This window comes from Homo sapiens, chromosome 5, assembly GCF_000001405.40.
Source record: "Homo sapiens chromosome 5, GRCh38.p14 Primary Assembly".
Classification (NCBI taxonomy): domain Eukaryota; kingdom Metazoa; phylum Chordata; class Mammalia; order Primates; family Hominidae; genus Homo; species Homo sapiens.
The window spans coordinates 121,304,964-121,327,623 of record NC_000005.10 but is presented as its reverse complement, the minus strand read 5'-3'; the positions used below and the strand labels follow the sequence as shown (position 1 = coordinate 121,327,623).

Here is a 22,660-nt window from a genome sequence, read left to right as displayed (position 1 = left end):
ACTATGTTTCCCATTCAGGTCTTGAACTCCTGACTTCAAACTATCTGCCTGTGTAGGCCTTTAACTTATAAAACACTATTCACTCTTTCAGTAACTTGTCATGTTACTGAAAATTTAAATAATAAGGAATACATAGAAAACAAACCCCAATAGCAAAACTGTAAATGATGAAACAGAAAAACTGCAAAAGTGCTACAGTCAGATCTTTAATTTTTTGACTCTTCCACAGGCAACCTCATATACTAGAACAAAGAGAAACCTTGGCTTAATAAATGAGTTCCAATTTTGATTCCATTGCTCAGTAACTAGCTGGTTGTGCTAAGTATCAGGTTGGTGCAAAAGTAATTGTGGTTTTTAGAGTTGAAAGTAATGGCAAAAACTGCAATTACTTTTGCACCAAGCTAATAGCTAAGCATATTACCTAGCCTCTCTGAGCTTCAGTTTTTACATGTCTTTGGATAGCTTACTAATAACCATCTTAAATACTGAGACTGGCCACAAGGCAAATAAAGGGATTGGCATAGAGTGTTTTGCATCGTAAAGAACAGAAAATATGATTTTTAAAATAGTTCCTCATCCTCAAGAAAAAAAATTTTCCCAGGAGTTATGTGAGTGGAGATAAAATAAAGGCACATTAAAAATATATTTTTTGTTGATATTGGGAACAAACTTAAAAGAAAAAATATAAAAATAAGGAAGAAAACATTGTTCCAATATAATTCAACATGAAAAAAGTTAGTTTTTAATTTTTAAATATGTTACAGGAATTACAGTCAGAAAATGATAAACTATTTCGACTCCATAGGCAAAAACCCTAAAGTATAAATTTGTTTAGAGTATAAACACAAAATAAAATTTAGAGACAATTTATAAAATCTAATGAAGTCAAATATAGAGTTGAGGCATAGAGTAGAAAAATACAGTGAAATATTTCTAGTATTACAGACAAATGGAAAGCATGGTTGCCCTTAAGAAAAGAAAGAGAAAAACTTACCCATAGTAACCCAGATGTTTATCTCCTTTGTTTGACAAAAGTTGCTATATTGATATATTAGATGGGAAAAAATGAAAGACCACTTTTCATTTCTTATGAACAAAAGAAAATACATGAATTTTTTATTTTCAGACTTTCTGACCCCCAAAAGGCATTGAACTTTCTTTGAATTTTGATGTCTTCATAATTTTAACCTTATCCAAGACAAATATTTGTATAGCTTTAAAATGATGAAGCCCTTTGAAAGTAGTAGCCAATTTCTTATACAGTCAACTCCACTAACTACCTCAATATTGTAATGACTTACATTTTTTACTTTGATTTAAAATTTAATTTCTTTTAAATGAAATCAAATGCCCTTGCTCTGTTTTTCTTGTGCTGGTTTAGAGTTGGACCTTGTTTGTTTTAGCTACATCCATTATACTTTTACCATTTTAGCCCAGACCCATTAAATCCATCTTACCACACAGTTTCCTCTCATATGGAGATTATGGATTCTTGTTTTTTCAGCTTGTTGTTGGCTCCTGGTCATTATTTTTCCACCAGTGATTCATTCAGCCTACTTTTAAAGCTTTGAGCATATTTACTTAGGCAGAATGTAGTTAGTAGAGTAGTAAGAATGTAAAAATAAAATGCAAATAAAACTCAAATTCTATTTCAGAGCTTCTAGAGATTTTGCTGTAAGTAACATCCCTTTGGCAATGAACTAGTTTTTTCATAAAGTTTATGGGATAAACAAAACATTTTTAACTGTCAAATGACTTGATAGGCAGGCTTGACTTTGATATAGTAATGAATTTAATTTTACAGTTAGTATTTTTCCTCTTTTCACTCCAAAATGAAAAGCATGGATATTTCAAACAATGTTTGTGACCCTCTACATTCTTACATTTATATTCTTCTTTATTGTACTTTTTATATAGATAATTCCTTTATAATCTAAGCAACAAGCGTATAAGGTAAATGCTTTCTTTCTGTTTTAAAATGATGAAATTGAAGCACAAAAATTGTAAATGGCTCGGTAAAGTTCTTGTATCTAGAATCAGCTGTAGTAAATCCAATCAAATTGCTCTGATTCTAATTCTGGGTGTTTCGTATAACTCCAGTGTTGTTCCTCTAGTTCTTTGAGGTCGACATTTTTCCTTGTCTTCCTTCTTGTGTCCTTCTCGTCTTCCCTTCTTCTACTTAGATTCATTCTGGACACTATGCTAGAAGGAAATATTATTTTCCTCAGTGTAGTTGAGCCAGTAGTTTCGACTAGGACTAGAATATTTTGCATATAATCAGTGGTAGGCCAGAAGGAAAGAATTTTAAGAATAGAGAACTCTGGAAAGAGTGATCAAAATATAGAGAGCATTAAGTTCAATATGAGGTTTGATATATTGCGTAGCATATTCACGTAAATATTTTCTGTTTTTCTCTCTTTGAGGTATTTCTTCCACCCTAATTTTAACAAATTATGGCGCTAATCAGATACAGTAAGCTATACTCTGTCTCACCTCAAATTTATTCTTAACCTATTAAGGCTTGTTCTTCAGTTTAACATTTCACTAATGACTCTCTTTAAAAACAAATTGACTCTTAAATATTCTTTCTCAAAGACATATGTTATAAATAACATATATGTTTATCAAAAGATAAATAAAACTCAGATATAATGAAAGTATAAAAAACTATTACATTAAATCTTCAGAATATCAAAAATAAATAATCATTAATATGGAATTATCAAAATTTACTATCAATAGAAAGACCTCTTTCTAAAAGGAGGTCTTTACACAGACGGAACATTATCTCTGACATTGATCCAGTATTGCAGAAAAAAAAAAAAAACCTCAAAAAATGAATGTTGTCTGTTTAAAATAATAAATTAATGAAATGCTGAGGTTTAAAATATATGAGGAATTAGAACATATGACAACAATAGCTCAAAATATAAAAAGGGAATAAGTGTGGTCATAGCATTATAATATCCAAATTCTAATATTGCATGGTTTAAATTAGACTCTAATATGCCAAGGAATATTAAGGAATACACTGCTATCAGATAAATAGAACAAAATATAACAATAAAATTATATTGATGTAAGCAAATGAAGTCAAATAAGGAGAAGAACTATAAAAACAAAGGAATTATAGAATTGTAGATATAAACTGAAATTCATCACTAAACACATGAAATAGATATTGAGCATATTCTCCTGTTTAGAAAAAAACTATCAGATTCTGGTTTAAAACAATAAAAATAGCATCATTAACAACTATTTAAAAATTACAGATATAGAGACAGAACAGTTGAAAGTAAAAAGATTGAGAAATATATGAAATCATCAGGAAAACTAATTTACTTCTAACAACAAAGATTTTAAATCATACGCATAACAAGACATAAAAAGGGCATTTCTTTATGAAATAAAGCATGGATTCTGCAGGAAGATATAACAATCCTAAAGGTATCTAAGTATCAAAATTTAGCTTTAAAGTGTATAAATTACAAAGTTGATAAAATGTGTATAAGAAATAAATAAATCAATAATAATATGAAAATATTTAACATACCTTTTAGTTACTGGTGAGAATATAGGGGAACTAAGGATACAGAAGATTGAAAACTTATTTTACAAACTTTACATAATAGGCATATATAGACTTCTGCACTCAATGACTGCACATTATCCCTGCTTTTAAAATTACAAATGATAATCATAGACATCGACCACATATTGAAAAATAGAGAAGACCTTAATACATTTCAAATGATTGAATCATAAAGAGCATTTTCTCTAGCCTCAGTGGTATGAAGTGAAAAAATCAATCAAAAAATTCTAACTTTAAAAGAAAACACATCTAAATAACCCATGTTTTTTTAATGATATCACAGTGGAAATTAGAAATTATTTTAAATGGAATGGAAATAAAATTGTGGCACATAAAAACTTGTAAGAATTAAGTAAGACATGACTTAGGGACAAATATATATATATATACTTAATATATACCTTGCCTGTATATTTTATAAAAGAAAGACTGAATATCATGTCTTTAAGCATTCATTTCAAGGGGCTAGAAGATAACGTGACAAATTAAACTCACATAGAATTAAAAGAAATATGATAGAAATAGATGAATTAGAAAACAAGTATAGAATATAGAAATATCAATGAAGCCAAACACTAGTTCATTAACACACTAATAAATTTGATAAATCAATATCAAAATTTAAAAATGAAAATTATAAATTGCAAACATCAGAAATAAAAAAAGTTTACTTCTATACCAATACTACAAATATGAATAATTTCTATGGCAGCTTTATGTAAAAACATTTGAAAATTTTGATAGAAGTAAAAAATTCTATAAAAGCCCAAGCTTACCAATTCTGATTCAAGAATAAATAGAAAATGTGTAGAGCTTTATGTCTATTAAAGAAATTGAATCTGCAAGTGAAAATCTTCAAAAAGGATAGATTTAGCAATATCTTTTTCTATTATAAGTAACAACTAACATCAATCTTACAAAACAGTCTTTCAGGGGATAGTAAAAGGGCATACCTCTCACTCTTTTTTGTGCCAGCATAAGCTCTATACCAAAATCTGACAACAGCATTAAAAAGATATTAGATATAGGGCAATAAAAATCATAAACAGATATGCAGAAAATAGAAAAAACAGCATATCCAATTGCTCAGTAATGTATAGAAAGTACTATAGATCACGGCTAAGTTTCATTTCAGGAATACAAAATTGCTTTAATAATCAAAAAGCAAATAAACAATTTATTACATTAACAAAAGATAAGCTCACACGATAGACGCAACAAAAGGATCTCACATATTTTAACACCCAGGATTTTTAAAAATTATTAGCAAAATGGCAATGATAGAAAATTTATTTTCTTTTTTAAACATAGGAGTGACCAAATTTTTATTTTTAATTACTTACTGAGATATTACTGACATACAAAAAGCTTTACATATTTAAAATATACAAATTGATCAGCTTGGAGATAAACAGTATACTTACAATCATGGCAGAAGGAGAAGCAAACATGTCCTTTTTCACATGGTGGCAGGAAGGAGAAGTGCCAAGCAAAAGGGGAAAAGTCCCTTATAAAACCATCAGATCTCATGAGAACTCACTCGCTATCACGAGAACAGCATGAGGGTAACTGCCCTCATGATTTGATTACCAGGCCCCTCCCACAACACGTGAGGAATATGGGAATTACAATTCAAGATGAGTTTTGGATGGGGACACAGCCAAACCATATCATCTTATAAGTAAAGTAATACATTTTCTGGTACTTTCATTCAATATTCATTTCATCTTAAATAAATCCAGAGAAATTCAACAAAAATTCACAATTCAGTCACTGGCTTAAGCCACATATCTTATTTATGTGGAATAAGCCAGATTTACATAAGCAAATCCAAATTTCTAGCTTAGTATTATATTCTATTACATGGAACACTGCATATTTGGAATGAGCAATTTTTAAATAGATTTTAGCCAATCTATTAATACTCTGTCACTAATGGTTTTTACTGTATCAGTCCCATTGGTTACTGAGTTAACTTGGTTTTATTTTTTCTTGTTTTAATTCATTTTCAATTTAGTCCCATTGGAGACCATACAAAAACACAAAAATGTTAATGTTTTTATGCTGAAAACTACATTGATGAGAATGCTAGAAGGTGTATGTTATTCTTCATCCAGTGCCTGATGTTAGGTCACTTATAAAATAAAACATAACATCTTGGAATACTAAAGGATGTTTGAAGAATATAGGTAATCCATTTATACATTTTCATTGAAAACTTAAAAAAATAGAAATAAAACGAATACTTCTTGAGCTCTACAAAAACTTCAAGCCCCTACCATGGCTAACTTATGTTCAGCTTTTTAATACTTCCATACCTTACTTTATGTTTTTAAATACAATTATAAATATCTAACAGATACACTGTCCAGTACATATCTGATACAGTAATATGTGTCAATCTGCTATGAATGTGAACTGATAATTATTTCAATTTTGTCCTATTTTTAAGGCTGCTTCAAATATATTTTCTGCTTTTTCCATCTATTCAGATAGTCCATCTAAAATAGTAACATATGAAGTAGATACAGAAAGCTAGAACATGTCTCAGCCCTGCATTTTGTGGGTCTAAAATTAAGTTTATTAATTCAGATTAATTTTACAAAATAGTAATATCAATATGAAATATCATGTTCCTTAATGCATACTTGTGTTTTGTGACAACAGGTATCATTTCTGTTCAATGTATACACAGCACCTAGTATGTTAACTGGCACATTAGTTTGTATTCAAAAATTGGTGTAAACTTGAATGAATGCATTGAGAAAAATTGTTATAAATTGAATGATATGGAAATCTAGATAGCATATCTTAAAAGCCAAGTTTGTCTTGGTGAATTAAGGCCAAAAGTGCATCAGTGGGCAAACATCTATTGATCCTAAGGCTCAAAATAGATTGAAAACTCTGGCATTCTCATGAAGTATAATTTTCTTCACCTAGGCAAAGCCTGCCATTGTGCCAGAATCATCTCTGGCACATTGGATATTCTATTTACAGTATTATTATAATTACCACTATTTTTATTCTTATCTGCTCTTGCATTACCTTGGTTTAGGGTGATACTCAAGCCAGTCATACTTGCTTAGGAACTTGGTTTCCTATCCCATGTACAAGTTCCACTATATTAATTATCTGAAGAGCCATTTGGGAAACTGAAATATACCAAAAGTAGGAACAATTAACTTGTATTATTCTTCCACAAATATGGATAGCAACTGATTTAATAAACCCATATACCAAAAATGATTAGTCTAATGTAGGATATATTAATGTACTTTTCTTTTTTGCATTGTGTGTATGACTTTTTTATGCTCAGCCACAATGACAGATGAAACTATCTAGTAATTCAATCACAATACATTCAGCACTGAAAATGCAGCTTCTTTATTTTTCTATCCTTTCTCACAAACCACTATCTCGTAATTTTTCTTATTTGTAGAGCTGCACTTGCATTCAATTATTGTTGACATCTGCATGCCCAGTCATGGGCAAAGATGGGATACTTTGCTCCTAAGTGCCAGGGTACTCAGATATAATTCAGTCACAGTTCCTTAAAGGCTATTGTATTAGTCCATTTTCATGATGCTGATAAAGACATACCCAAGACTGGAAAGAAAAAGAGGCTTAATTGGATTTACAGTTCCACATGGCTGGGGAAGGCTCAGAATCATGACAGGAGGTGAAAGTCACTTTTTACATGGTGGCAGCAAAAGAAAAATGAGAAGGAAGCAAAAGTAGAAACCCTGATAAACCCATCAGATCTCGTGACACTTATTCACTACTACATGGATAGCACGGGAAAGACTGGCCCCGATGATTCAATTACCTCTCTCTGGGTCCCTCCAACAACACGTGGGAATTCTGGGAGGTACAATTCAAGTTGAGATTTGGGTGGGGATACAGTCAAACCATATCAGCTATACACAACATTCTCATATGTCATCAACATATTCAAGTTTAATGAATTGTTTTGGTTAGATCATATGGGCCAATTGTGAGAATTGCTTGTATTGCATTCAAGACAAACTACAAAGATTCTTTTGTTCTTGACTTTTTTCAAAGCTGTTTTGTATTTTCATTTCATTTCCTAGTTATGGATACTTTTATTTGGTATATACAAAATAGTATTTTGTATTTTCATTTAGGCAGAAATGAAGTTACTGGTCTGAATTGGTGAGCCCTGGGTCAACACACAGGCAACAGAAGCTCCTACAGAGTAAAGGGTAGAAGGAATTGCCAAGGAGGGGAAGTGGTAGATTCAGCTTTCTAGTTTGAAGCCAGTGACAGCAGTGTGATTGGCCCTGCTAAAGAAAGAGGCCAAAAAAAAAAAAAAAACAAACACAAATGCTGAAAAAAAAAATCACTATGAAATTGATGCAGGAGTTTTCTCAGCCCCTTCACTGGACTCATGGCAGGGGCACCCCATCTACTCAACACTCTGTGCTCAGCCCCTTGTGGGAGGGAACACATGAGTGAGCTAGTGCGAGATCAAGATGGCCACTCCAGGCACTGACACAGGAGCAAGCTCCACATGGGGGCCCATGGCCAGACCAGGTGTGTTGCCCTGAGGGGAACACAGTGGCACCCAAGTGAGGGTGCCTGCAACCCCAAAGCCTCAGAGGGGGTGTTACAGTGGTCTTTTAGTTCTGCTGTCTGCAGTATGATAGACAGCAGTGTGTTAGCAGCTCAGTTGGCTCCTTGCCTCATTGCATGGTGTGGCTGCTCTCCACCAATGAGGGCAAAGCACCAGTGTGACAGCCTTTTCTGGGTACCCTCACTTGGTGGGTCCCAAGCTCTTGTCCAGTGGCCAAGAAGAATGAGGTCACAAGGACAATTGAAGGATGGTGAAGGTGGAGAATGTTATTGATAGATGAAAACAGGTCTCAGCAGAGAGGGGAGTTAGAGAGGGGAAAAGAAGGGCAGGTAATCTTCCCTGAAGTCAGGTTGTCTCTTCTCCAAAGTCAGGCCATATTCCTCTCTACCAACTGAGTCTGGGGCCTTTACAGGCACAGGATGGAGTGTGCATGATGATTGTTTTGTGAGTATGCAAAAAAGCTTAAAGTGAAAGCACCATTTAAAGGTGGGTAGGGCAGTGTAGAAAGCCAATTAGAAAAGGTTAGGTGTATGTAAAATAGGTGAAGAGTGGGGATCAGAGGAAAGCAAGCCAAATAGGAGGACAAGTTCTCAATCCGGTGCTTGTAGTTTAGCTTTCAGGCTTTAAACTGTCTTTGGCTTGGAGGTGGGTTTTCAAAGGGTACCTGCCCCTACCTACCTAGGCACTTGGCTTCCTTCTGTCCCTATCAAATTGACACTGGATAAACTTAAGGGTATGGATGGAAGAGCCAGGCATTTGATCAGGATCAAGACATAAACTAAAATTTCTAGTGGCCATGTTACTGGATCTGTGAAAGTCCTCAAATAGCAACAGACTATCTTTAAATCACCATTGAGAGGGAGAGAGGAGGAGGAGGAAGGACAAGTACGAAGAGAAAGAAGAAGAGAGAGAGTTTATGAAGGGGAATGAAATGTGTGCAAACCATGTATTGTTGTTGTTGTTAAAAGTAAATGCAATAATTGTAAAGCCTTCACTGCACTAGAAATAAAAGCCTTTTGTAAAGGCTTTATTTAATTGGGTCCAAAAATACCCCAATTAAAATGTGCAGTTGGCAAGTTGGATAAACAAGCAATGTTTAAAACAGGTTGTCAAGATACTATATTCATTTTATGAATTTGACCAAAAAGACAAAAGGAACAAGAAACCTCTGATAGATTATTAGGAGACTTCAAGAGGAATTGTAACACTCAATTTACAATTACACCAGTAAAACTGCAAGGATAACTAGCAAGAACTATCTTAAATAATTAAGCCCAGAATCAAAGGTTTCAGAGTAGAAGCCATATTTCTCAAAAATAATTCCTTCCACCATCCCTTTACTTTTTCAGAATTTTAGAGTTGCACCCATAGTAGGATTTCTAACTCCCCTCAGACTTGCCCTCTGATTGAACATCTAATTGTAGCATTTTCCGTATGTAGCCAGAGGCAGTCCTCATTCATATTTCTCTTTGTCCCTTTACTTTTTATTTCCTTATCTCTTAGAAAACTTTGGAGATTACTTCACCATAATCTTTTTCTCTTATTATGTGTGTTTTCAAGGTATATTTTGTCCAGAAAAACAGATCTAATAATGCAACAGAACATTTGGTAAGTTCCAGTAGGAACAGCAAAAGTTAAATTTCAGTAATTAGCATCTGTTGATATCTTTATTCTTGCTAAAAACTACAGCTTAAAGAAACAAAAATTACCAAGTGTCATAATGTCTTTAATTACCAGCTTTAAAATATAGGATGAGCCTGCCTACCCACAAAGCCTCTGCCACCAATGTGAATGCACACGCTGAGGTCTGAAACCCTGCCCCACCTGTGCCACCACTGCTGCCCATGTGAATGCACATGTGGACACTGACAACACCACCACTCCACCCCTAGCACAACCACCATCACTGCTACAAATGTGTGCATGGAGGTTGGCAGCCCACACCCAGTAACACTCTGCCCCACCTCTGCTGCCAGCATGAGTGCATGCAGGAACACTGCAGCCCCACTCCTATGGGTACCCTGCACCCAGTCAATGTGCAAGCACCCTGCCACCTTGCTGCTGCTGCTAGCACATGTGAATGAGCATAGATCCCATTGCTGCCGATCTAACAAAGCACTTTCACCAGCATCAGTCATCAGAGTGCTCTGGCCAGGATCTGGAAACACCTCACCCCTTCCAGCACAGCCTCCAGGGGCCAGAGAACAAAGCTGGGGGCCTGACACCAGGCCCCAGGGTTAGAGTACCCAGGCCAGGAGTCCTAAGCTGAGTCTTTTCCCTTGAAAATCTTCCAGAAATGAAGCTAGTTTATTGAACCCAGTGTTTACCACAATCAAACCCTGAAAGTTTAAAAAAAAAAATGTAACAGCAAAAACACCTATACGAAGGACAGCAACTTCAAAAAATGAAGGAACAGCAGTCTACACAGATGATAAAGAACAAGTACAAGAACTCTGGCCACTCAAAAACCAGAATGGCCAAATGACCACACTAGTTCTCCAGTAGTGGTTCTCAACCAGGCTGAAATGACTGAAATGACAGACAGAATTAAGAATATGGACAGAAATGAAGATCATCAAGATTCAGGGGAGTCCAAGCATTCTAAGGAATACAATAAAATGATTTAGGAGATGAGAGATGAAATGGCCATCTTAGGAAGGAACCAAAGTGATCTGATAGAGCTGAAAAACTGACTTCAAGAATTTCAGAGAACAATCACGAGTATTAACAGCATGATCAACCAAGCTGAGGATGGACTGTCAGACCTCGAAGAGCAGTTCTACATAATAATTCAGTCAGACAAAAATAAAGAAAAAAGATGAAGAATGAACAAAACCTCCAAGAAATATGGGATTATGTAAAGAGACCAAATTTATATCCCACTGGCAACTCTGAAGGAATGGGAGAGAAAGCAAACAACTTGGAAAACATATTTCAGGACATTGTCCATGGAAATTTCCCTAACCTTCCTAAAGAGGCCAACATTCAAATACAGGAAGTGCAAAGAACCCCTATGAAATACTACACAAGATGACCATCCCATGGACATATAGTCCTCAGATTTTCCAAGGTTAAAATGAAAGAAAAAATGTTAAAGGCAGCTAGGGAGAAGGGGCAGGTCACCTACAAAGGGAACCCAACTGGGCTAACAGTAGAACTTTCAGCAGAAACCCCACAAGCCAGAAGAGATAGGATGCTTATAATCAGAATTCTTATAGAAAATAAATTGCAATCAATAATTTAATATCCAGCCAAGTTAAGTTTCATAAGGAAGGAGAAATAAGGTCCTATTCAGAAAAGCAAATGCAAAGGGGATACATTACCACTTGTGATGGTTAATACTAGTGTCAACTTGGTTAGATTGAAGGATACAAAGTGTTAATCCTGGGTGTGTCTGTGAATGTGTTGGCAAAGCTGATTAACATTTGAGTCACTGGGCTGGGGAAGGCAGACCCACCCTTAATCTAGTGGGCACAATCTAATCAGCTGCCATCGAAGATAAAGCAGGCAGAAAAACATGAAAGAGGATACTGGCCTACCCTTCCTGCCTACATCTTTCTCCTGTGCTGGATACTTCCTGCCCTTGAACACTGGACTCCAACTTCTTCAGTTTTGAGACTCAGACTGGTCTTCCTTTTCCTTAAACTTGCAGACAGCCTATTGTGTGAACTTGTGATCCTATAAGTTAATACTTAATAAACTCCCACATATACACACACACACACACACACACACACACACACATATATATATATATTATTCTGTCCCTCTAGAGAACCCTAATATACTGCCAGACCTGTCTAATTGAAAGGAGTGCTAAATATAGAAAAGAAACACCATTTCCAGCCACCATAAAAGACACACTTGAATACATAGATCATTGACACTACAAAAGCAACCACACTAACAAGTCTACGTAATAACCGGCAAACAAGATGATAATAGGGCCAAATCCACACATATCACTATAAACCTTGAATGTAAATGCACAAAATGCCCCAATTAAAATGTGCAGTTGGCAGGTTGGATAAAGAAGCAATACCCAGTGGAATGCTGTCTTCAAGAGACCCACCTAATAGGCAATGGCATCCATAGGCTCAAAGTAAAGCGATGGAGAAAAATCTACAAAGCAAAAGAAAAATAGAAAAAAGCAGGTGTTGCTATTCTAATTTCAGACAAAACAGGCAGTTAAAAAGACAAAGAATGGTATTACGTAATGTTAAAGGGTTTAATTCAACAAAAAGTTCTAAGTATCATAAATATGTCTGCATCAAACACAGGAGGACCTAGATTCATAAGGCAATTTCTTAGAGTCCTGCAAAGAGACTTAGATAACTACACAATAATAGTAAGAGACTTCAACACCTCACTGACACTATTAGATGGATCATCAAGACAGAAAATAAACAAAAATATCCAAGGCCTTAAATTGATTCTTGACCAAATGGACCTACTAGACATCTGCGGAACTCTCCCCAACAAAAACAATAGAATATACATTCTTCTCATATGTACAGAGCACATAGTCTAAAACTGACCACAAAATCAGCTGTAAAACAATCCTTAGAAAATTCAAAACTGAAGTCATACCAACGATACTCTTAGACCATAGTGCAATAAAAAGAGAAATCAAAACCAAGAAAAATGCTCAAAACTATACAAATACATGTAAATTAAACAACATTGTGTACCTTTTGTGTAAACAATGAAATTAAGGCAGCAATCAAGAAATTCTTTGAAACAAATTTGAAGAGAGATATAAGATACAGGAATTTCTGGAAACAGTTAAAGCTGTGTTAAAAAAGATATTTATAGAGCTAAATGCCTGCATCAGAAAGTTAGAAACATCTCAAATTAACAACATAACATCATCCCTAGAGGAACTGGGGAAAGGAGAGCAAACTACCCCACAGTTAGCAGAAGACAAAAAATAATCAAAATTAGAGCAGAACTGAAAGAAACTCAGACACGAAAACCACACAAAAGATTAACGAGTTCAGCAGTTTGGTCTTTGAAAGAACAAATGAGATAAACTGCTAGATAGAGTAACCTGTATTCGAACATAAATTAGAAAGTAAGCCCCTGTAAATATTTCTGAAAAATAGATGACTTTAGACAAATTAGAATAGAGTAATAACTAATTTTAAAATCACACAAATAAAGAAGTAGGCTAGTATCAGAGCAACCCTGTATTGTAGACAGATGTAAACTCTGGACAGAATATAGAAAGTACCTTCTAAATTCCTTGAAAAGAGACCAGAAGCCGGAAATTCTGGAAGGAGACTGATACTTGGAGAAGGAGAGTTCCAGTGGGTGAATTTCACATTTTTTGTTTCTCTGGACTGAGGCCAGTCTTCTTCTGGAGTGAGGCCAGGAAGGACTCATTGGGTCCAAAAGATACTGATAAAACTTGAGCTGGCCTAAGGAACTGGAGAGAATATGAGACAACCAAACTTGTTGTAGAGGTCAGGGGAATCCTGAAAAAACAGAACCAGAGAGGGAGTGATCAACATTGTATATATACTCTTCCATAGTTTTTGAACAATCCACAGTCTTTATTAGGTATTGTTAAGTGATTTAATAATCAGCATTATTAGGTGATTTGAATTGATACCCAAATGCTGGTGTTTAATGTTTAAGTCCGTCTAATTTAATGCCTGTCTGCTGAAACAAAGAAGTTGATACTCTTCCAAGGAAGATAGCAGATTCCAGAGTCTTCACAGTGTGAGGTTTACATTTTTCATCTATATTACTAAATATATTTTCTTACATTAGGCTTCTGATTTTGGTTAATCAATACACAGTCATGTCAACTTACTAATATATCCTAATTATGTACACTCATAAGGCTTTAGCTCAAGGGAAGATTTTATTATTTAAACAAAAGACATTTCAGAGGATGATAGGAGACATTAATTTGGAGGTAAGCAGAAACATTTTTCTTTTAAAATGTCTTTCAAAAACAACATAAAGTTAGTTTTGTCTATGCAGATATTAGCCTATCCTTATTTTTTATAAAGTGTATGATGTTCTTTTTCACAAATATGTATATCTCTTAATGGACTGGAATTCCATGGGGTTTTAATATTATTATTATCAATTTGACCTCCCAAAAGGAACTATAAATTGTTTTCCTTTTGATATCAGTTTATATCATTTATCTCAGATTTAAAAAAAATCCCACAGGAAAAACTACCAACAAGTGGAAAGTTTTGGTAATGGTATGAAAGATTACTTTCTCTCTTTTCTGCCTGACACAAGTTATTAAAGTTATAATTAACTCTAAGTAATAACACTGGAAATTACAAGTTCTTTGTGCAAAGGAAAAGTACATTCAATTAAAATTATTAGGTTAGTGCAAAAGCAATTGCGATTTTTGTCATTACTTTCAATGGCATAAACCGTAATTACTTTTGCACCAACCTAATATTTTCTTGTTTAGAATATTCCTGAGGTAAAACATATTTTATCTTTCTAATGTTAGAATTTCAGTATATTGAATGACTAAAAATAAAATATAATTTTAAAATACAGACAGAGTCATATATTATAATTACTGTTAAATTTGCAAATAGAACTTAGAAAAACTAACTAGTAACAAGACCATTGTATGTTTCAGGGTTGGAGAAAGCTAAAGTTAAAAAATGAGCAAGAAAAGCATTCAGAATATATTTGTGATAGAGATATAAAAAAAGATGAAGTAGGAAATACTTATTATGAGGCAACTTTGAAGGTCAATAAAGGGAAAAATTTATGAATTTTTGAAGATAATATTTAAACTTGCTGAAGAGCCAAAAGAATAAGAAGCACGTTATTAAGTAACATACCTAATAGTTCCATAATACAAATTATTACTCTAAAATTTTGTGTTGAGTAAAATCAACACAAAGGGACCTGAAAAAGTGATTTAGTTATTTAAGGATCTGATAAAAATATAAACATAATATTTAACTAACACAGCTGAAGTTTCAATTATTTTTTAAATTTCCTATTTCTTCATCCAGTAAGAAATTATTGAGCTCCTCCTTTTGGTCAGGTCAGGCATTCTGTTAGGTGCCGGGATACAAGGGTGAACAAAAGACATATTCCATGCATTCGTTCTGATGGGGAGGGAAGTCCAGTGAAAAGCAAGCAAATAATTTCACTAATGAATACATTATTACAATGTAAAGAAATGAATACCATTGATAGGAGGTGAACATATAGCAAAGGGACATCCATCAGCCAGAGGTGCATGGGAAGAAATCCCTAAGAAAATGACAAGAGCAAGACCTGGTAGATGACAGGCAATTAGCTAAGAAAAAAGAGAGTGAGATGGCAGACATTTAAACATCCTAGACGTTCTTCCAGAAATACAATTGCTAATACCGAGAATGATGATTTCCAATTTCATCCATGTCCGTAAACTGTCACAAGAACAAAAAACCAAACACCGCATATTCTCACTCATAGGTGGGAATTGAACAATGAGATCACATGGACACAGGAAGGGGAATATCACACTCTGGGGACTGTGGTGGGGTGGGGGGAGGGGGGAGGGATAGCATTGGGAGATATACCTAATGCTAGATGATGAGTTAGTGGGTGCAGCGCACCAGCATGGCACATGTATACATATGTAACTAACCTGCACAATGTGCACATGTACCCTAAAACTTAAAGTATAATTTAAAAAAAAAATTGCTAATACCATATGGAAACCTTCTCTGTTACACCTTTTCAGGTTAGTGATTCCCTTTAGCTGTGTGACAGCAGATCTATTTCTACTATTTTGCTTCTCACGTTGTATCATAATGACATTCGGCATGTTTTTTACCTCATTAAACTGTGAACACCTTAGAATCCGTAACAAGAGAAACTTGCACATTGACAGAAATAAGTCACTGCATTTTAAAACTTTGCAAGAAGTAAACTAGCATTTTGGGAAATAGTACTGTGCTTTTTTGCATAATTGTTGCTTCCCTTGATACGTGGCTTATAACAAATGATCCATACATAATAATTTTAGTTTGACTTACATGTATTCATGTCTATTATAGAAAGATTATGAAAAACAATAAATCATAAAAATGTGCTCATGAAAAAACACATACCCCACATACATACACACACATAGATATGCACTCACACCACCACAGACACAGACACACACGTACCTGGATGCCTTAGTTTTCATGATAATCCTTGACTAAGAGCAAACTGATTTATGAATACAAGTTTTTGTTAAATTTGGGTAAATGCTAAAGTAGGATGTCAGTCAAGAACGCCCAAAACAAATTGTTTCACAATATAATTTACATTTTCCTAACATAATAGAAGATAACAGAAAATATAGTCTTACAGCTGGAGTGTATTTCCTAGGATGAACCTTTGTACTTCTCCTGAAACAGTAGTTAAATAAATGATACGTATATATTAATTTGAAATACATACTTAATGGAAAGTAATTAAGAAGTGAAATTAATCAAAAGAAATATCAACCCAAACTTTTCAATAAAAATAATGAAATAACTAAAGAATACATGAAAGAAAAGATAATATAATAAAAATAACAAAGCACATATCCAACTTTAAATGTAATTTTAAGGTTTCATTAATTAAAATGGCAATTTTGAAAATTATTTCTTATCTGCACATGTTCTCTCAAGAATATAAAAGTTATTTTCTAAAATTACAAAGTTCTCATTTATCTATTATAAAGTCAATAAAATATTTTGAAAGTATTATAAATCATCAAACTGCATAGTTCTTGCTCTCCAGAGGTGAAAATTTATAACCAATTACAAAATATTATTATAAAAAAAATGAATGCTTCCATTTAGAGTCCCATTGGTTATTATTCAAAATCGTTTCTCTTTCTCTTCCTTTATTCATTTTGGAGTAAATAATTGATACAGTTATTTAGTTCAAATATGCTTTATTTTGATTCTAATGGACTGCTTCCTATTGGAGTGTCCCAAAATTCATATATCTGTCCTTTGCTTTATTTAAACTTATTTCCTACATTGTCCATCTATATGAGGACTTCTAAACATGTATAACTCTAGTAGACATCTTTCTGATGAGCTCTTGACTTATATGCATATCTGCCATATCTCTCAACATCTCCACTTGAACACCGACCAGATACTTAACGTTTAACTTGTCCAGAACCATTCTACTCTCAGAAAATGGTGGCTCCTCTCTTCCATTTGCTAACAACAAAAACTGTGAATTTATCCTTACCTTTTTCTTTCTCTCACCTCGTATCTAATGAGAGAGAAAATCCAGTTGACGCTGGCTTCAAAATATAGATAGAATTTGACCACGTCTCTGACCATACTGTGATACCATCTGGGTCTGAAAAACCCTAATTTCTCTTACTGCAATTGCCTCTTTACTATTCTTCCTATCTGTACCATTTCCCTAATACACGCTATTCTCAACAACTGTATAGAAACTATAGAAGTGCATTTTAGCTGGATAGTCAACATATTAGGAGGGCTGACTTTTCCACCCAGTTTGGAGAACAGTGTCCTGAGGAACAGGGCAATGTATTGGTGAGTTTTTATGGATGTGGGCATATTTAGAGCATGAAGTTGTGTGCAGGTTGATAGACTTAGGAACATTGCTAACTGAAGAGCAGCCTCAGCAAAAATCTAGGTCTACATGTGTTTTAAAATGGAGAAAACTATGGTAGCAGATTTTAAAAACACTGAGTGAATCCAAATGTATGATGTCATTTAATACAATATGGATTTCTACCATTGCAGCACTTTTAGTCCTCTGGGTCATAAAAATGTCCCTAAAATAAGGTCCTACCTTTCTGCATCCAGAAACATTAGGTGCTTTATAATCACTTTAGTAACAACATCATTTCATTGCAATCATAAAACAACCCAAGGATAGGGAGTAATAGAAAAGAGAACATTTTATATTACTTAACTGTATACATAGTGAATTCTGAAAAAGTACTTGTCAAAGAAATAGAGGTAATATAATGAAATCCACCCCAACTAAAGTAGCTATCAATAAAGCAATATATAACAGAAATATTAGACTCTATAAAAAGATATGTTCACATTATATATGATATGATTAGCAAAATATTGAAAACTGAATAGCTTTATGTCAGGTGCGACCAGGGAAGAGAAGTGTTACCAGTGCCCTGAGGTCTTTGTGTATATTCAAGTAGCCCAAAGGGTATCGTGTTGGTTAGAGGATGATGTTTTTATCCTGTTGGTTTTTTTAAAATCTACCTGTTCCATTTTGTGCTGTCCCTATAATCATGAGTATTTGCCCCAGTTGATTAGGGAGCTTTAAAAATCAATGCTCAGAATTGTCTCTCACTCCTCTTTTAACTAAGAGACCTCTATTTATATTCCAACATTTTAATTATCCTCCAATTCCAGAAAAATCTTAATGAATCAGTTGGTATATTTGAACAAAATGGGAACTAACTGCTGTATAGGTAGTTTCTTGCAACCAATTATTCAACTGGACTGCTGATTAAAATGTATGGAACAACCATGAGTTGTGCACTGAGTCCAGACTGCCCAAAGCAATCTGACTCTTCCTCTGATTATTCCTGTACTGAGGGGAGCATGGACACTCCTGAAGTGAGAAAACCATAAAATAATATGGAGGCCTCAAAAGCCGGCATTTGTCACTCCCCTGCTCAAAGCTATCCTTGTCTTTTTACTTTATTTAGAAATTAATTTTCCACTCCTTTCTAAGTTAGAAGGCCTCATGTGATATCAACTCTAGCCTCACCAGCCTTCTTGGTTTTCTTCACATAAGAAATTGCCAAACTCGTTCTCTCCCCAGAACTTTGGTCTTGTTCTTCCCTTGCCTAGAAGGCTGTTCACTCAGATCTTTGTATGGCTCTCATTTCATTAATGAACAGAGTGAAACCCTACTTTCTCTGAGAAGCCTTCTCTGACTATCGTCTCTAAAGTAGCCTTTCCCCCTGCTGCTGCCACTTTCTACTGCCTATTGCTTGTCCTGGTTTAAGTTTTGTCAATGTGATTATTACTTCTTAATATTACATTCAGTGTACAGTTTTCTATTGCCTGACCTTGACACAGAATATAAATCTAGGGCTGGGGTTCCAGTTGATGCCATATCCCAGGCACCAAAAATAGTGTTTGGCACATATTTAATAATATTTCTAAATTAACTAGTAGATTAGGGATATGCTCTGTTGACTTTACTCTCTACTTATATTTAGAAGTTGCCTATTTTAAATTCATATATGTGTCTCCTTCCTGAAATTTCCATTTGTTTACAATACATTATAACACTATGTTATTTATATGTAATATATATATCTTATAAAAATAATATATTTTTTAAAATATAAACATGTGTATTTGGGGAACAGATAAAGCTGTCAATTATTACTCTATCTCCATCTTGCTCTGGATATGATTTCCTGTTAAGAAATGAGTTCTAAATAAAAGATACTATAACATCCCAAATTGCTTTTTGATAGTTTTACAAAATTGAAATGTCAAAAATGACAGAAAGCAATAATTATTACGCAAATGCAGATAAAAAATTGAAACTACAAAAATTCTTAACAGAAATATACGTATAATTTAACTTCTGAAAATCAATCAGTGTTACATACCATATTAACAAATAATAAAGTAAAATTATGTGGTCATCTCAATAGATTCAGAAATAGCATTAGATAAAATCTAATATCCATTCCTGATTTAAAAAAAACTCTCAGCAAACTACAAATAGAAAGGGACTTCCTTCACTGCAAAAATGGCACCTACAACCAACTTACAGTTATCATTATACTTACTTGTGAAAGAAAATAGTTTTTCACGTAAGATTAGGATGAGAACAAGGGTGTTTGCTCTCAAGAATTCTAATCAGCATTGTTCTGGAGGTTTTATGTAGTACAACAGGCAAGCAAAATATGTAAATCATCCACATTAGAAAGTAAGAAGCAAACCCTCTTTACTGACAGATGACATGACTAACCTGTGTAGAAAATTTTATGAAATCTTCAAGAAGCAACTAGAATAAGCTTAGCAAGTTTGCAGAATATAAGAGGCAATATGCAAAAATCAATGTATTTTTATATGCAACCAATGAAAACTCAGAAGTTGAAATTAAATACCACTTACAATAGCATCAAAATGTGAAATCTATCATTTTTAGCATAGTTAAAATTCTTAATCTGAAGACTTTGTTCAGTTAAACAGAAAGGAGGCTATGAGATACTTTGATTGTTTCCAGAATTCCCATATAAAATTTCCAGTTGACTTAAATGCTCAGTATCCTGTACCAGCCTTAAAGCTCTTATTTTTAATTTCTATTTTTTAAATTTGAGTCATATTATTTTCACATACTTTTATAGAGCTTTGTTTCTAAGTCTACCCAACTAGTTATTAGTAACAATCAGAGTTGAAATTTGCTTTGCAAATGAATGAAAACGGGCAAGGGAGAAGACCCATTTCCTATGTTACTTATACTAAGAGAATGAAGAGGGCAAAACCTAGAGTTAAATATCTGTATTTAGCTGTGGAAAGGTGACTATCTGAAGTAGAAAGAGCCGAATTATATAGCAAGAAGAAAATGTGGATCAGAAATCCAAGGATTGCCCTGCAGATAGTCCCAATGCATGAGGCTGGCTTAGGTATTATCTGCAGCAAAACTGAGAGCAAGCCATGGGGAAATAGACAGTGCTCAATCAATCATTGCTATGTATGTGGTATCTCCAGACTATTCACAATTCAGGTAGTAGCTGACTTGTAATTATTTTATATTTTAAGGCTCATTTATATTTACCAAGACCCTTTGTCTTAACAACGAAGTTAAGAAAAACAAATGATAAATTTTAACGGGTATTTATTTTTACCTTTACGAAACAGGTAATTTCACATAATGAATTATAAAATCTTAATGAATGTCATGGAAGTCCCAAATTTTTATGCTTTTCTATAATTACTAAAGTTAATATTGCTAAAATGGCATTATCTAAAGTACAGCATATATCTGACTGTGTTAGTGATTTCTTTTAACATTGATTCTGAAGCTAAAGGTGTATTCTAAAGTTTCACCTGTGTAAGTCAGCTTAAAATGTGTATTATTTTAAGAACAAATTGTAACATTTTTATAAAATTAAGTTTAAAATAAAATTGTTTTATAAATGCATAGAAATAATATGTGATAATTGTGTTCATGAAACATAAGCAAACTCAGTATTCTTAGTTTCTTTGATTAGTAACATTTTGCTGTTTAAAGTCAAATAATTTGCTCCATAAATAGGGCTTAAAATTTAGTCATAAACAACTACCTTCCACTTCTATCATGCATACTGCTTAAATTAATTTGAAAGAACACCAATTGCTTTAAGTTGCATGACACGGATATATTGAATGTTCAACTTTTATTGCCACTATAAGAATAAGAACTGTTTATACTTTCATACTTCAAAAGTCATAAAGTATTTATGCTACTTCTAAATGTGTTTAATATTGTTCCCTTCTGGAGATACACTGATTATGAGGCACAAATAAGAGTAATTATCTCTGGCACGTAGAATATTCTCCTTTCTTTTGTTGTTGTTGTTGTTTTTTTTTTGTTTGTTTGTTTTTTTTTTTTTTTTTTAGGGGTATAGAGAAAGGAGGAAGTTGTATATCACCGCTATGCCTACATTATCAGTAAAATATCTTTTATGAAGGTATGATAAAATATTGGTTTTAAAAGTTGGCCTAGCAGGAATTATTTTATTTCTTCTTACAATGACACTGATTTTTATTCGAAAAGACAATTTCCTATTTCAGCTCCTTTTTAGCAATTATAATTTGATATCACTCTTTTCCTTATTTAAATTATGCTATATGTATATATTTTAAAAACAGTCAAGTTTATCTTATACTAACTTCTACAGTATTATTTTAAGAATAAATTGTGGTAACATTTAATGTTAACTTAATGTAATAACATTTAATGGTAAATATAATTCCTCTAGATGACTGAAGCCAATAGGGTTTTCAGCTAATCTTTAAAACAGAGCAGATTATGTTCCTGTGTCCCTAACCTACAAGTAAATGATATTACTGATTAGAGTGGATGTTACTCTCCAGAGTATCTGTTTTTATTTAGTAAATAACTTGCCCATTTCCATCCATGCCCAGTATCTAATAGGAGACAGTATAGATCATTTTCCCTTTCTGGCCACCACTCATCCCCCATCTTGTCAAACTGTGCATTATAAACACAGAAGAGAAGAGAAGAAACAGCTATCATGGAAATGTACCCATAGTTCCATTAACATGTTTTTTACAAAATATTATATCCTAGCTGTTTTGAATTTGCCTTATAGATATTAAGAAATGGGATAGAAAGAGAAGGGGTAGAATGTGACTGAGTAGCACACTATTTAACATATATAAGAATTACGCAATATACTATGGAGAAGTTTCCATATTCCTCTGTGCTTTGATTTTTATAACAATAAAGAGATAACATGT

At 33.6% G+C, this 22,660-nt stretch overlaps 1 long non-coding RNA gene across 1 annotated transcript; it reads right to left on the bottom strand.

Moving 5' to 3' along the window:
• Positions 1-1,786: 1,786 nt before the first annotated feature.
• Positions 1,787-5,074, bottom strand: LOC102467226 (uncharacterized). Its single transcript, NR_104999.1, has 3 exons — positions 5,017-5,074; positions 3,554-3,583; positions 1,787-2,202 (listed from the first exon to the last, which is right to left on the bottom strand). It is a non-coding gene; the product is annotated as an uncharacterized LOC102467226 (long non-coding RNA).
• Positions 5,075-22,660: the final 17,586 nt, after the last annotated feature.